The 17836-nt window shown below is 41.0% G+C and overlaps 1 protein-coding gene and 1 long non-coding RNA gene across 5 annotated transcripts in view; both read right to left on the reverse strand.

Moving 5' to 3' along the window:
- The window catches only part of LOC124900799 (uncharacterized), a 28348-nt gene extending 12277 nt beyond the window's left edge, over positions 1-16071 (reverse strand). The window contains exon 1 of the long non-coding RNA XR_007058328.1: positions 158-16071. This is a non-coding gene — a long non-coding RNA (uncharacterized LOC124900799). The remainder of the gene's footprint in view (positions 1-157) is intronic.
- Positions 1-17836, reverse strand: part of SH3D19 (SH3 domain containing 19) — a 205325-nt gene that overhangs the window by 138807 nt on the left and 48682 nt on the right. The gene's annotated exons all lie outside the window — the stretch shown is intronic.

The following is a 17836-nucleotide window of genomic DNA, read 5'->3' on the forward strand; positions in this document are numbered from 1 at the left end:
CAGTATGCTATAATCATCCCACTGTACTTCTAGCCCAGGTAACAGAGTGAGACCTTGTCTCACTCTGTCTTCCCCATTTCATTCAACAATATAACCAGTTACTCAAGACAAATATTGTACCTCACTTCCCCTCACCTTCCACATCCAATGCACATACCATTCTTGTCAGTTTTACTTCCAAAACTGACAAATGAGGATGAACCAGAGAATCTCTTGAAGTCAAGTAAGACACTTCAGGCAGAGGCAGCATGCCTGGATGGACTGAGGGAAGGGAATCTGTGTAAGGAGGAAAGAGGACCTGAGTTTGGGAAATGACCATGGAGGGGTGAGGGTGGAGGGGCAGGATTCCAGGCTGCATCCCTCCAAGTCTTCTTGCCCTTTGTTGGCAGTCTGTGGGCGGCCCACAGTCTCATCTGGTATTGCCTCAGGCTGGGGGGCTAGTGTGGGGCAGTGGCCCTGGCAGGTCAGCATCCGCCAGGGCTTGATTCACGTCTGCTCAGATACCCTCATCTCAGAGGAGTGGGTGCTGACAGTGGCGATCTGCTTCCCGTGAGTGCTGGCCCTGCTGTGTGGAGACCCATCAGGGCACCTGGGTGACTGCACCGCCTGAGAGGCCGGGGTGGGGCTTATCGTGCACTGCCCAATACACTATGTTGTGCGTTATTAATGGGTTCAAATACTTCCTACTCTAGCTCTCAGTTCAGTGCAACTACTCTCAGACTTCAGGCTTCTTCAAATTTAACATTATCTTGATTGAAATGACTACCTAAAAATAGTTACATTCTCCCACCCCATTCCTCAATTCGAAGCCTCTACCCAGGAGACATCCCCCAGGAAGGGCTCCTTCCCTTACAGCAGCATGCCTACACCTCATACCACTCTTCAGAGGCACAATCCTGAGCCTTCTTCACTACCCCTAAGTTAACTCATCCATCTTTGTTTTTTTCCTTTTTGAAAGAAAGTGTGCTTACACTTGCCTCTTATTTTAAAATATTTTTATTTTATTTGTATGCATTTATGGAGTACAAGTATAATTTCTGTTATATGCCTAGACTGCATAGCAGTGATGTCAGAGCTCTTAAGGTATCCATCACCCAAATAATGTACATTGTACCCATTAAGTAATTTCTCATTATCCACCCTCTTCCATTTCCCTTGGTTTAAATGTCATATATTTGCTGATAACACTCGCACTTGCATCTCTAGCCCCAAACACTAGTCCTGATGCACTTCTATTTGGCATCTCAAGGGTAACATGGTCAGAAAAGGTAATTTTACCACCATCACTGTCCCCCAATCTTTTTCTCTCTCTGCCTTCCCCATTTCATTCACCAATGTAACCAGTTACTCAAGACAAATATTGTATCTCACTTTCCCTCACCTTCCACATGCAATGCATATACCATTCTTGTCAGTTTTACTTCCAAAATATACTTTGACTCTAACATAGCTACCCCTGGACCTTTGCAATAGTATAATAGGTTTTACTACCTTCAATACACACCAAAAAATGACTTTTTAAAGTTAGAGGTGAGATAACATCACTCCCTGCTTTGAATCCCCCAGCGGTTGCCCAGGCACCTATAATAAAACCCAAATGACACATTGTGGCCTACAAGCCATGAATCACCAGGTGTCTGCCCACTTTTCCAACCTCATCCTATTCTCCAGCTTTTCTTTCAGTTCCTGGAGACTGCCAAGCTCTTTCTCACCCTCAAGGCCTTGCATACTCTATTCCCTGTCTGGAATGCTTTTATCGATCTTAAGGCTGACTTCTTCCTTTTGGGACTCAGTTGAAAAGTTACCTCAACAAGACCTTTCCTGACCATCCAATAAAGACTCTCCCCGCTTCCTTTACTCTCTACTTTAAAATTGTGTGTTTTCTTCATAACATTTATCACAATTTTAAATTTTGTACTTGTTTGTTGCTTGTCTCTCTCTCCCTGCCCCAACACACACACACACCCCTACACACCCCTTAAAATTATAGCCCTGTGACGGCCAGATTGTATCTATTTTAATTTCATTTATACTACCAGGAGATGCTCAATACTTTTTGAAGGAATGAAAGCCTCAGAAGAACTAGAGGAAAAATGCCATATCCAGAACAATGGGCTCTGCTATGATGACCCAGGGCAGAGTCACAAGAAACCCACGGTATCTCTTCTGCTTCTCTTCTCAGGTCTAAGGATGCCAGGAAATACAGTGTATTGGTGGGCTCAGATCTTTGGTTGTGCAGACTCCAAAATGACGATAATACCTGTGTCCCAGATTATCCCCCCACCCTGATTTCCAAGCAAACACATCTAGTGCCATCGCTGTGGTAGAACTGCCCTCCCCAGTTTCTGTTAGCCCTGTTGTCCTGCTCATCTGCCTTCCCTCATCTGAAGTCTACCTGAAGAAGAATACAACCTCCTGCTGGGTGACTGGATGGGGCTATACTGGAATATTCCAATGTGAGGATACATTGATTTTCTGTGTTCTAACTTCTTCGACTGACATTCTCTCTGCCTGCTCTCTATCCTAGCCCTAGAGCACCAGATATACTACAGTAATCTGAGGTGCTTCAGACTTCAAATTCTCTGTGACCCTTTGCCTCTTTCATATTTCTTCTGCTATAATCTCTTTGCTTATTGATACCTGCTTTTGTTCTTGTTTAGCAATAGTGCTGAGACCTTAAAAGTAAAAAGGACAGAGTAATGAATTTAGAGATAGGATAGTTCTGTTCAGTCTGAGAAGTAATATAGTTTTCCCTCCATACCTGGGTGGAGTGTGTGTGGGTAGGTGGATAGGGGAAGGAGACATGAAGATGTGTTCAGGAAAGTAAGGACACTCAGCAAAAGTTCCTGACTCAAACTAGCTAGGAGAGTACAGCTTCATTTCTGGGTAATTCTTCTTACTAGATCTACCCCTTATTTCTATAGAAAAATAAATACATATTCTGAAGACAACTTAAATCCGCATTCTGTTTTGGGTTTTCCTAAATTACAAGATTTTTCTGTTACTAATTTGTGCTATGTGAACAGGAGCCAACTGCCCACGGTCTTGTTCAGCGCCAGGGAGCTCAGCCTTTAGGTTGTTTCCCAAACCAGAAATCAGGATGCTATCTAACATGGGGCAGAATATTTGAAATTAGAGCTTTATCTGAAAATCAAAGGCACAAAATCTGTATCCATGGCCAGAAGTCACTTTTTAATTAAGACAGCTTTGACTCTTTTTGGCCCTACAGATATCAAGCGTTCTTATACACTGAAGGAGCTGAAAGTGCCCCTCATTGATCTCCAGACATGCGGTGACCACTATCAAAATGAAATCTTGCTGCACGGAGTTGAGCTCATCATCAGTGAAGCTATGATCTGCTCCAAGCTCCCAGTGGGGCAGATGGATCAGTGTACTGTAAGAATCCACCCCTCAGGCACCTTTCACAGGCCTTGCCTTCCCCAGTGTGCTTCCTCCACTTCTCATATCTTCAGAGACCCTGGGTGAACCCAGGAGTGTCTGGACAGGCCTAACTGTACAGTTCTTGGCTAAACTGTTGAAGAGTTTCACCTCCTTCCCTTTGCTCTATGTACTGTCTAGCCAACATTCTTCTCTCTCTCTCTCTCTCTCTCTCTCTCTCTCTCTGGGCAGTAGATGAGATCCCGTGATGTGTCAAGTTGAAGATTTCTAGGTCCTGGCAGGAGTGGTAAGCCAGGGATCAAACTGCATCCAAACCAGTGGGCCTGGAATATACACAAACATCCATTTCTACAAGTCTTGGATTGAGAAGTCTCCCATCTCGCTTGCTGAGTTTTCTGCTACCCTCAGTCTGGGCCTCTCTGGGCTCCTGCCTATTATGCTTCTGCCTCTGATTTTCCTGAGGCCACCTTAACTGGCTGAGGTCAGTATGCCCTGGGTAAAGTGACAGTTGAGAATGAGAGAAAAAGGAAATTCCAGAGTTGAGGATTCTGAAGACAGATTTTGAAGAGTCAGCAAGACAGACGCAGTTCTGCTGTCCCATAAGCCTAATTTGCTTGTTGCCTTTCCCCCGCACAAGTCAGCCTAGTAAACAAGATCCCCAGAGTGAATAAAATTTGGTTGATTCTAACAAATTAGTTCTTATATTCATTCTTTTGATGAAATTGAAGACAGAGCCTGGGGAAGTGCAGAAGCAGAGAACTTGAGGGTTAAAGGAATCTGGACATCACTTAGCCCAACACATTCTATAGGTGAAGATGCTGGGGTCCAGAGGTTAGTTTGCCACTTACTTAATCCAAGATGAAAACCATCCAACCCTGGGATTAGACTGGATTCTGAGGAAAAAGTAGGGACTTGGAAGATTAGAAGATTTCAGATAAAACGGGCCAGGCCGGAGGAGGAGCCCCGGCAGTATATTAGTTATCTATTGCAGTACAACAAATAACCCCAACACTCAGTAGCTAAAACAATGAACATTTATTATCTCATAGTTTCTGCAGGACAGTTATCTGGAAGACTTAGCTGGTTAGTTATGGTTTAGGATCTTTCAAAAAGCTACTGCTGTGTCAGCCACAGCTGCAGTCATCAAGGCTCAACTAGGAAAGGATCAGCTTCCAAGCTCACTCATGTGCCTGTTACCATTCATGTGGGCCTCGCTGAAGGAATGCCTTTGGCAGCTGGCTTCTCCCAGAGTGAATGATCCAAGACAGAGCAATAGAGAACACCCAAAATGGAAGCTACAGTTTTTGTTGTTGTTGTTGTTGTTGTTGTTGTTGTTTTGGACAAAGTCTCACTCTGCGGCCCAGGCTGGAGTGTGGTGGTATAAACACAGCTCACTGCAGCCTCGACCACCTGGGCTCAAGTGATCCTCCCCACTTCAGCCTCCTGAGTAGCTGAGACCACAGGTACACACCACCACTCTGAGCTATTTTAAAATTTTTGTGGAGACAAAGTCTTGTCATGTTGCCCAGGGTGGTCTTGAACTCCTGAGCTCAAGTGATCCTCCTGCCTTCGTCTCCCAAAGTACTGAGATTACAGGCATGGGCAACCATGCCTGGCCAGCCACAGTCTTTTTATAACCTAATCTCAAAACTGACAACTCAGCTGGGTGTAGTGGCTCACTCACGTCTGTAATCCCAGCTTTGGGAGGCTGAGGTGGGCAGATCACCTGAGGTCAGGAGTTCAAGACCAGCCTGGCCAACATGGTGAAACGTTGTCTCTATTAAAAATACAAAAATTAGCCGGGCATGGTGGTGGGCGCCTGTAATCCCAGCCACCCGGGAGGCTGAGGTAGGGGGAGAATCGCTTGAACCTGGGAGCTGGGGGTGAGCCAACATCCCGTCACTGCTCTCCAGCCTGGGCAACAGAGTGAGACTCTGTCTCAAAAAAAAAAAAAAAAACCAAACAAAAAAAAAACCCTAACATCTCATTATTTCTTATAGTATTCTATTCTTTAGTAGTAAGTCAACAAGGTGTGAATATCAGGAGCTGAAGATCATTGGAGGCCATCTTGAAGGCTGTCTTCACAAACAGAGAGTACAGGAAGAGTCTGGAATGAGAGCCTGAGAAGCTAAGGCTGACTGTGTTTAGTAGTCATGGATTAAATTTTATAGTTGTGTTCTCAGGTGTGTTGGTGTTAATGAAGGTGTTTACTAGAGATATTTCCAAAATGTAACATCCTGTAGACAATCAGAGTAGTCTAAGAACATGTTTCATATGAAAAATATGCTGCCTTATTTTCTTTTTTTCCTTTTTTTCTGATATACAAAGAATGGTTAAAAACATGGGATCTGATGCTGACCAGAGCTGAGTTGGATTTCATAGGATGCGGATTAAAATACAATAATAGACACAATGCTCTACATTACTTGATGAATAAAGAATAAAAAATAAGGAAGGAGTTTTGGCAAGACAGTGGAATGAACAACTGCAAAGTGAATATTCCTCATTCTAATTGAATGCTAATAAAATCATTGTTTAAAAATGATAATTTTCATAAATAATCACAAAAGGTAATTACATAATAATAAATTAATTAAATGTGGGCCATTAAAAAGCTTTCCATACATATAAAAAAAGAATTCAGAAAAAAACAAATTCCCAAATGCAAAAATTATCAAATTATAAGCAGGATAAAGAATGATTACAATTTATTCTCAAAGGCATACTGTTTATGTCAGTAACATCTTGTTAGAATTTTTGCAGATGACAACACCACAGAATTTCAAACAAGGCATACTTGACACTGTGGAAAATGCTTCAGCAAAAGAAAAGGTAAACTCACTACACATGTGGGATGCTAAATCAGTTGAAAAAAAAAAAAAGAGGATAGAATGTGAGAGAAGATGATGGATCTAGATAGTGGAGCCAAAAAATAGAAGGAGATAAAAGGAGGTTATAAAATCACAAAATATAACAGTTGGAAGGCACTTTACAAATTATCCGATACTACTCCAAGCTCAAGGCATAAGTTTGCTTTTTAATAGAATGATCAATTAATCCTTATATTTATTTTATTTCTTTTCTTTTTTTTTTTTTTTTTTTTTTTTAAAGACAGAGTCTTGCTGTGTCACCCAGGCTGGAGTATAGTGGCACAATCTCAGCTCACTGCAACCTCCACCTCCCAGGTTCAAGCAATTCTCATGCCTCAGCCTCCGGAGTAGCTAGGATTACAAGTGTGCACCACCACACCCAGCTAATTTTTATATTTTTTGTAGAGACATGGGGTTTCTCCATGTTGCCCTTGCCCAGGTTGGTAATGAACTCCTGACCTCAAGCGATCCACCCGCCTCAGCCTTCCAAAGTACTGGGATTACAGGTGTGAGCCACAGCGCCTGGCCCCCTTATACTTATTACAGCAGCTTTGGAAAATTATTCATTGTTGGGAATGAGGGAATGGGAACTATTTTCACTACACAGTATTGCCCACCCCTTGCCCACAAGAATCATCTAAAACTGAAAGTTAACAAGTAAAATAACACACATAATGGATGAGATAGTTACATGTAGGACAAACCTAAAAGATTTTAGTAAATACACACCTCATGTTTTAGGAAGAAGGTAATCTTGGAGACTTGGGTATAATCTTAAGGCAACGTACTAGGAATGAGATCGTACCGATGAAAGTTTAAATCTAATCAACAGTATTATGCACTGGTTGAAGAAAACCAGGATTAAGACGGAGGATAGTCAGCATGGAATCTAAGAAGGGAAAAGTCCGTTAACTATATGTGTTCATCAGATTCTAAGCTGTTAAGGGAGAAAGACCCTGAGTCTAATGAATATAAACTTTAAATTTAAAGAAAAACATGTTCTGTTATAGAAAAGTGGTCTTTCAGTTTTTGTAAAGATGAGCTATTTCATCTTTGTAAGTGAAATGCTCATGGAGATTAGCTACCTCCATTTGTTCTCATTGTAAACCTCTTTAAACCACAACACATTTAGTTGCTCGACTCATATGAAGAAGAGGTGCCCTGGTTGGGAAAAGTGAAAATTCCGAATAATGGAAATGAATAGCCCTTAGTGAGAATAAATATTCTGGTTCATACATAAGCCTCAGAGTTTAGTGAGTCAGTCCCTTGAATTTGATCTCTTCTAGGTGCTCTGACAAGGCCTGAAGTCCAGAAGTTAAAAAGCTAAGAACCCAGAGACTAGATTGAGATTACTTGAGTCAAGTCATGTTGCTTATGGAAGACCTGCCTAAGTGAATTCTCTGGATAACATGACATATCTATCTCATTTCCTAACAATGGCAGAAACTCATATTTACTTTATGACTCCTCTGTGTTAAGTACTATGCTGGTCACTTTAAATATTATCTTATTTTGTCTTAACAACTCAAGAAGGTACTATTTAGCCCCGTTTACAAATGAAATAAAAACACACAAAACTGAGGTTCAAAGAGGCTAAGTAATCTGCCTAAGACTAAACAGCTAATATTTAATTTAACAGATCTAGCCAGGGCTGTCAGACTTCAAAAATATGGCTTTTTCAGCTGGGTGTGGTGGCTCACGCCTGTAATCCCAGCACTTCTGGAGGCCGAGGTGGAAGGATGATTTGAGGCCAGGAGTTTGCAACAATCCTGGGCAACATGGTGAGACTCAGTCTCTCTCTAAAAAAAAAAAAAAATAAATAAAATAAATTAGTCTAGCATAGTGGCACGTGCCTGTAGTCCCAGCTACTCATGAGGCTGAGGTGGGAGGATTGATTAAGCCTGGGAGGTCAAGGCTACAGTGAGCTGTGATTGCGCCACTACACTCTAGCCTGGGCGACAGAGCAAGACCCTGTTGTCAAAGAAAAAAAAAAAGGCTCTTTCCACTATACCAAATTACCTCCGTTCATTGTTGGAAAGCTATAAGGTTTTTCCTTACATTACACCAAAATAACACTTGCCCTTTGGCCCTAGTTATTTGTACCTCTTGTACTTCTTATCTCTATTTGTAGTTCCTTGAGTGAACATAGCTTTTATTTTTCCTTCTGAATAGATAAAAACAGACTTGAGAAAATTAACTAATGTCCTATTCATCTTTTTGACCTTCTAACAACACGTAGTATCCTGCAAACAAAGTATCAAATCTTGTTTTTTTCAATTAACAAAATGAGAACTATAGACTATAGAAAGCCAGCTGTCAAAAAAATAGGGAAGAATTCCTTTAGTATGAGAAGTGAATAAACATAAAAAGGGAAATGTATTTTGTTAGTGACCAAAAGAACAGGTGCATTAGTTGGTGATCAAAATAACCAGTCCCCCCTGTAAAGGGGGACTGGTTTTAAAGGGCATTAGTGTTTCAAGCAAGTAGGATGGTGCTCAGAGAAAGATTAGTCCCTGTGGAGGAGATGAGTGCAGTCCAGGGAAACCTGTAGACTGGTCAATAAAGCAAACAGCCAGGAAGAGAAAGAAGATTGTCTGTGAAAGGTTGTCCAAGGCTTGGCCCTGACATAACAGATGCTAAGTACATGACATGTTGCTTAATGATGGAGATCCGTCCTGAGAAATGTGTCATTAGGTGATTTCGTCATTGTGTGAACATCGTAGAGTGAAATGACACAAAACTCAGTGATACAGCCAACTACACACCTAGGTTACATGCTATAGTCTATTGCTCATAGGCTACAAACCTGTGCAGCAAGTTACTGTACTGAACACTGTAGGCAACTATAACACAATGGGACGTATTTATGTATCTAAACATAGAAAAGGTACAGTAAAAATATATTATAAAAGATAAAAACTGGTACACCTATATAGGGCACTTACTGTGAATGGAGCTTGCGGGAATAGAAGTTGCTCTGGATGAGTCAGTGAGTGAGCAGTGAGTGAATGTGAACGCCTAGGACATGATAGTACACTACTGTAGACTTTATAAACACTGTACGCTTAGGCTACACTAAGTGTATTTTTTTATTATTATTATACTTTAAGTTTTAGGGTACATGTGCACAATGTGCAGGTTAGTTACATATGTATACATGTGCCATGCTGGTGTGCTGCACCCATTAACTCGTCATTTAGCATTAGGTATATCTCCTAATGCTATCCCTCCCCCTCCCCCCACCCCACAACAGTCCCCAGAGTGTGATGTTCCCCTTCCTGTGTCCATGTGTTCTCATTGTTCAATTCCCACCTATGAGTGAGAATATGCGGTGTTTGGTTTTTTGTTCTTGCGATAGTTTACTGAGAATGATGATTTCCAATTTCATCCATGTCCCTACAAAGGACATGAACTCATCATTTTTTATGGCTGCATAATATTCCATGGTGTATATGTGCCACATTTTCTTAATCCAGTCTATCATTGTTGGACATTTGGGTTGGTTCCAAGTCTTTGCTATTGAGAATAGTGCCACAATAAACATATGTGTGCATGTGTCTTTATAGCAGCATGGTTTATAGTCCTTTGGGTATATACCCAGTAATGGGATGGCTGGGTCAAATGGTATTTCTAGTTCTAGATCCCTGAGGAATTGCCATACTGACTTCCACAATGGTTGAACTAGTTTACAGTCCCACCAACAGTGGAAAAGTGTTCCTATTTCTCCACATCCTCTCCAGCACCTGTTGTTTCCTGACTTTCTAATGATTGCCATTCTAACTGATGTGAGATGGTATCTCATTGTGGTTTTGATTTGCATTTCTCTGATGGCCAGTGATGGTGAGCATTTTTTCATGTGTTTTTTGGCTGCATAAATGTCTTCTTTTGAAAAGTGTCTGTTCATGTCCTTTGCCCACTTTTTGATGGGGTTGTTTGTTTTTTTTCTTGTAAATTTGTTTGAGTTCATTGTAGATTCTGGATATTAGCCCTTTGTCAGATGAGTAGGTTGCGAAAATTTTCTCCCATTTTGTAGGTTGCCTGTTCACTCTGATGGTAGTTTCTTTTGCTGTGCAGAAGCTCTTGAGTTTAGTTAGATCCCATTTGTCAATTTTGGCTTTTGTTGCCATTGCTTTTGATATTTTAGACATGAAGTCCTTGCCCATGCCTATGTCCTGAATTGTAATGCCTAGCTTTTCTTCTAGGGTTTTTATGGTTTTGGGTCTAATGTTTAAGTCTTTAATCCATCTAAGTGTATTTTTAAAAGTTTTCTTTAATAATAAATTAATCTCTGCTTACTATAACTTTTTTACTTTATAAACATTTTGATTTTTAAGAACTTTTGACTCTCCTAATAACACTTAGCTTAAAACACAAACACATTGTATAGTTGTACAAAAATATTTTCTTTCCTTGTATCCTTATTCTATATGCTTTTTTCTCTTTTTAAAAATTTTTTATTTTTACCTTTTAAGCTTTTCTTTAAAAAAAAACAAAAACAAAAAAACTAAGACACAAGCACACACATTAGCCTAGGCCTACACAGGGTCAGGATCATCAGTATCACTGTCTTCCACCTCCACATCTTGTCCCACTGGAAGGTGTTCAGGGGCAATAACATGTATGGAGCTGTCATCTACTATGATAACAATGCCTTTTGCAGAATACTTCCTGACAGACCTGCCTAAAGCTGTTTTGCAGTTAACTTTTTTTTTTTTTAAAGTAGACAGGGTACACTGTAAAATAATGATTAAAAGTATAGCATAATAAATACATAAAGAAGTAACATACTCATTTATTATCATTATCAGGTATTATGTTGATATAGTTTGGATGCTGACCCCACTCAAATCTCATGTTGAATTGTAATCCCCAATGTTGGAGGTGGGGCCTGGTGGGAGGTGATTGGATCACAGGGGTGAGTTTCTCCTGAATGGTTTATTACCATCCTCTTGGTACTATCCTCAAAATAGTGTGTGACTTCTGTTCATTAAGTGTATGGCACCTCCCCACTCTCTCTCTTGCTTTCACCATGTGATGTGCCTGCTCACCCTTTGCCTTCTTCCATGATTGGAAGCTTCTTGAGGCCTTCTCAGAAGCAGATGCCGCTATGCCTCCTGTGCAGCCTGCAGAACCATGAGCCAATTAAAGCTCTTTCTTTATAAATTACTCAGTCTCAGGTATTTCTTTACAGCAATAGAAGAATGGCCTGCCACATATGTACTGTATGTAATTGTATATGTTATGCTTTTATACAACTGGCAGTCAGTAGGTTTATAACAGCACCACCATGAACACTTGAGTAATGCATTGCCCTACAGCTCTAATGTCACTAGGCAATAGGAATTTGTCAGCTCCATTATAATCTTATGGAACCAACCTAGTATAAGTGGTCTGAAATGTCATTATGAGGCACATGACTGTATATGGACTAATTCTAGCACTTACTGATTTGTGAAACAAAAGCTTCACAAAAAATTTCTTGTCCAAGTTCAAAAACTAAAACTAGACTGGACCTTTTAGTACACAAAGGCAAAAGCCAAGGCCTGATATACACGTACTAGAGAAGTCAATTATTCTTTTTTTTGAGACAGGGTCTCAACTCTGTCACCCAGGCTGGAGTGTAGTGTCCCAATCATAGCCCACTGCAGTCTCAACCTCTCAAGTTCAAGCAATCCTCCCACCTCAGCCTCCTGAGTAACTGGGACTACAAACATGCAACACCCCGCCTGGCTAATTTTTTAATTTTTCTGTAGAGATGGGGGTCTCATTATGTTGTCCAGGCTGGTCTTGAATTCCTAAGCTCAAGCAATCCTTTCACTTTGACCCCCCAAAGGCCTAGGATTATAGGCATGAGCCACTATGCGTGGCCTCAGATATTCTTTAGGAGACTGTTTTATAAGGAGAGCTATTCATTTTCCAATATAGTAGACTGATTGATGGGTTGAATTAGAAAACAGACAATGGTGTCCATTTGCCCTTTCTGTTAATACAGATAAAAAGCTACAAAACTTGCAAATCTATTGTTTTCCCTGTTTTATCCTCAGGGTGCTCAAAAGAAGACTGAATTCTTGAAGTAGCATCTTTGCTTTACAGCAGTGGTTCTCCCAGGGGACATTTGGCAATGTCTGGGGATATTTTTGGTTGTCACAACTAGGTGTAGTAGGTATTACTGGCATTTAATAGGTAGAGATTAGGGATGCTGCTTAATATCCTGCAATGAACAGGCTAGCTACCCCACAACAAAGAATCATCTGGCCCAAAATGTCAATAGTGCCAAGGTTGAGAAGCCCTGGTCAATAGGTACCATCAACATCAATCCAAGCCATCACCAAGATAAACTGTTTGGGTAGAATTAAATACTTAAAGCTGAGAAATGAGTTCAATAACAACAATAATAAAAATAACAGCTGCCATTAATTATCACATGCTAAATAGGCCAAACCCAAGCTAAGTATTAACTCTATAATATCTCATTTCTTATGAAAATCTTGTGGGATATTATTATTCCTATTTTGCAGCAATTATTATTATATTTATTGTGTATGGCAGAGGTATTTAAAGATAACGTTAATGATGGCATAGGGTAATAATCTGGGGACAGATAATCTAAGACCTGAAGACACGGCACGATGAGAGAGGAAGAAACTGTAAGAGCTGTGTTCAGGAAAGTCCTTGGGGTGAGCATTAAGAACCCACTCTCTTGCTTCCAACTCTTTGGCACTTCCTTATAAGAGCCAGTGAAGCAGTAAAATGGCAGATCCAACATGTTTCTTGATTACTGAATAAAAAGGAAGAAACTATTTATAGACAGATAATGTAGGCAAAAGGCAAAGATAAATAGATAAAATACGGTGATAAACAAGCAATGCATAATTTAATCTTTGAGATCATCAACTGATTCCAGCACCTTCATGGTACAATGGGAAAATAAAAGCCTTAGGGAAAAGATGACTTGCTTAAGGTAATAAGGTAATACAGCCATACCCATGAAAACGAAAGAATAGCACTGTGGGCTGAAAACCAGAGGAACTTTCTCCAAAATGATACATCATTTTAGCTTAGATTTAGAAAGGGTTAAGAGGGTCCCACCTTTGTCTTTAGGAATAGATATTTTCTTACAAAGCTAAATGCCATTATCACACCTGTCAAGATTAACAATAAACTGGTTTGTTAAATCAGGATCCAAACACACTTATGTCTCTTAAGTGTCATAATCTAGAGCAGTCTCTCTCCCTTTTTTACCTTCACAACATGGACTTACAACAGTAACTGGGTCAGCTGCTTTGTAAAATGTCCTACATTCTGGATTTGTCTATCTACTTCCTTAAGTTGTAATCTGACTTACTCCTTTATCCCTTATATTTGCTGCAAGTGAAAGTAGCTTTAGAGATTCAGGTTTCACTTTTCTTTTTTTTTTTTTAACAAGGATACTTCATAGGGGGTAACATCAGGAGGCACATGTCTGCCTTGTCCCACTTTTAGTGATGCTAAGAGTGATCAGAGGGTTCAAATGGTAACAGCCTCAGCTCTCTTATCAACTTTTCATCTAAAGACTTGATAGTCATTCCTTGAATCAATTATTACATGAGGGGCTGTAAGTGGTGATTTTCTAATGCTGCTGGTCCAACTACATTTATTAGTTGGAATTCTTCTCTCACCAACTAAACCTATTTTGATACTCTGAATTACACTTTATACAGGAAAACTAGGATAACTATTTAATTCTTTCCTTTTACCTTCCAATTTTCAAAATAAAGTACTGGTGCCTTAGTTACATCAGTAACTGATGTAGAGTTTATTTCCAACTAAATTTAACAGATACCAAAACTGAAATATCTATTTACAAAACATTTAAACAAAGGAGAGGAGAGATTCTGTGAGCAATCCAACTAACATATAAAGGGTATAAGCCAGTACTTCCGATTTGTCCAGTGATGTATTAATAAAAGTCCAGCCAGGCACGGTAGCTCACACCTGTAATCCCAGCACTTTGGGAGGCCGAGGCGGGTGGATCACGAGGTCAGGAGTTTGAGACCATCCTGGCTAACATGGTGAAAACCCGTCTCTACTAAAAATACAAAAAATTAGCTGGGCGTGGTGGTGGGCGCCTGTAGTCCCAGCTACTCGGGAGGCTGAGGCAGGTGAATCGCTTGAACCTCGGAGGCGGAGGTTGCAGTGAGCCGAGATTACGCCACTGCACTCCAGCCTGGGCGACAGAGCGAGACTCCATCTCAAAAAAAAAAAAAAAAAAAAAAAAAGAAGTCCAAAGACCTGGGACAACCACAAAATCCTCAGAGGGAAAGGACTCTCTGGTCAAGTTTTTTGCTCCTGTGGTAAGTCAACAGAAAGATCTGTCCAAAGCTTTCAGGTCTCTGCAAAATGAATAATAAGCTACCTTTACTCTAAACATGATCAGAAGGCAAATCTCAAACTGAGGTCTGACCTTTTAAAAGAACTATATTAAGTGAGTTAACTCAATAGCTAAAATTGTCTGTGAATACCATAAATTAATTGGAATATTCACAAAGATGGTTGTGCTATGAATAAGAAATCTTTTTCTTCAATGAAACGAGCTGGAGAAAACTGCCGGTTGTAATGTTAATTTCAGAAAAAATTAAGATGAAAAATACTAAGAGTCATTGTATAATGATAAAATCAGTGAGTAGCAGAAAACCAGAGTGAATGCATAAACCACAAAAACAAAATTGGATACACAAAACAAGAACCATTAAAAATGTATTCAGAAACTATCACAAATGTAATAGTAGTAGTAGATTTTCATCCCCATCAAGCAGACACAAATGAAAACAAATGAATTTTAAAAACATAAATTTGGTAAAAATTCATGGTGTTGCAGTGTTTGCTTAAAAAAGCAAATGGAGAGATTTTTTTCACGTGTTCACTTCTAAAATCTTTTAAAATGTATTTAAAGAGGTAAACATCTTTATGCTACTTTACTGAGATATAGCAAACCTGGCATCTGCCCTGCCACAATAGCCCCTGCAACTGAGCTGGCCATATTTCTGCATCCCCATCTTCTCACCTTCCCATATGAGGGTACTTACCCCAAGGACAGTTAATCCATGGCCATGAACCTATATCCTGGTTAGAAAAGATAATCTGTGCCAAATAAGACGTCTTGGGAGTCTGAACTGAAAATAGGGAACAACTTGAGCAGTTTATAGTAGGACAGAAAGAAATGACATGGAATTCGGTTGAGCCATATTAATAGCAGAGAACCAGAGAGAAGATCCTGCTATGAGCTCTTAAGCTGTCATGAATCCAGAGCTCCTTTCCAGCTCTGGTCTTCAGGGTTGTCCTATGGCAGCTCCAGGTGTCCCTGTTATCCTGTTCTTATTATTCCATAGACATCTACATAAGTTTGCTAGGGCTGCTGTAACAAAGTACCACAGACTAGACGAACTTAACCAACAGAAATTTATTTCCTCACAGTTCTGGAGGCTGGAAGTCCAAGATCAAGGTATCAGCATGGCTGGTTCTTTCTGAGGGCCATGAGGGAAGGATTTGTTTCAGGCACCCTAGGCTTGTAAATAGCTGTCTTCTCCCTCTATAGATGTCACGTACATGACATTTCCTCTTCTAAGGACATCACTCATATGAGATTAGAACCCAACCTAATGACCTCTTTTTAATATAATTACCTCTTTAAAGACCTTATCTCCAAATATTGTCATACTCTGAAGTATGGAAGTGCGGTTAGGACTTCAAGATACGTTTTTTTTTTTTTGAGACGGAATCTTGCTCTGTCGCCCAGGCTGGAGTGCAGTGGCGCGATCTCGGCTCACTGCAAGCTCTGCCTCCAGGGTTCACGCCATTCTCCTGCCTCAGCCTCCCAAGTGGCTGGGACTACAGGCACTCGCCACTACACCCGGCTAATTTTTTGTATTTTTTAGTAGAGACGGGTTTTCACTGTGTTAGCCAGGATGGTCTCGATCTCCTGACCTCGTGACCCACCCGCCTCGGCCTCCCAGAGTGCTGGGATTACAGGCGTGAGCCACCATGCCCAGCCTCAAGATACATTTTTGAGGAGACATAATTCAGCTCAAAACAATAGCTTTAAAATAATCTCCTCTTGATTTAAGCTAGCTTAAGTGAGCCTCAGTTGCCTGTAACTGAATAGTTCTTACCAAAATATCTACATTTTCTGGTCTTCCATTATTATTTGAGACAGGTTCTTTCCGTCGCCCAAGCTGGAGCACAGTGGTACAGTCATAGCTCATGTAGCCTTGAACTACTGACTTCAAGTGATCCTCCTGCCTCAGCCTCCCGAGTAGCTGGGGACTTCAGGTGCACATCACTACACCAGGCTAATTTTTAAATTTTTGTAGATATAGGGTCTCACTGTATTGCCCAGGCTGATCTCAAACTCCTGGTCTCAAGGGATCCTCCCCGTTCAGCCTTTCAAAGTGCTGGGATAATAGGCGTAAGCTACCACGCCCAGCCACTTCTATTATTATTATTATTATTATTATTTTTTTTTTTTTAGACGGAGTCTCGCTCTGTCGCCCAGGCTGGAGTGCAGTGGCGCCATCTTGGCTCACTGCAACCTCCGCCTCCCGGGTTCAAGCGATTCTCCTGCCTCAGCCTCCCGAGTAGCTGTGACTACAGGTGCACGCCACTACACCCAGCTAATTTTTGTATTTTTAGTAGAGACGGGATTTCACCATGTTGGCCAGGATGGTCTCAAACTCCTGACCTCAGGTGATCCACCCGCCTCGGCCTCCCAAAGTGCTGGGATTACAGGCATGAGCCACCGTGCCTGGCCTATTAGTTTTAAACTGCTTATATGTTTCTTTCAAGCATCCCAATATTTTAAGTTGCAAGAGAGCAGTAACATTTTAATAGTTCATTGAATTCTGCCTCCACAGACCTAGCACCCTACAAACAATTGGCACAGAAAACAAAAGGCAGAGTGAAGATTTCTGAGGTAGATGTTGTGGTGTACCATCCAGACCCCCCTTTAGAACTGAAGCATTCATTCCCTTAGCAGCTAGGAGTGTTGGCTGCTGACAGTTCACAGCTAAGTCTTATTCCAAGAACTGCCAACAGAGCCACCTCACCCAAGGTAATGCCCCCTCCTAGGAGGTGGCCTGCATCCAATGATGCAGACCCCTAAGAACGCATCCTTCTTAGCTCAGTACAGAAAGTCTCTGAGGGCCACCTCAGCTCCAGAGAAACTTGTGAGATAGGCTGTGGCCTCTGTTGCAAACGCATCACAGTTCAACTCTCCCTCTAACCAATCCTACTACCCACCCAAGAGCTGCTGATCCTGAGACCACTCTAAAATAAATTTCCTGCACACAAATCTCTGTCTTAGAGTCTGTTTCCCAGGAAACTTGACTTGCAGTGCAGCTAACACTGTAACAGAAATGAAAACAAACAAACAAAAAAACTCAGAAAAATTAACCAGATACTGGGTTCATTTCCTCTTTTCCATTTCTTGCTTTTGGAGAATCCTGTCCACCTTCTATCTCCTTGCTAGAGACAGGGTCCTGTTTCTTCCAGTGCCCTCAACCAGCCACTCCTCAACACCACAGGCAGAAACC

Source organism: Homo sapiens, chromosome 4 (assembly GCF_000001405.40).
Source record: "Homo sapiens chromosome 4, GRCh38.p14 Primary Assembly".
Classification (NCBI taxonomy): Eukaryota; Metazoa; Chordata; class Mammalia; order Primates; family Hominidae; genus Homo; species Homo sapiens.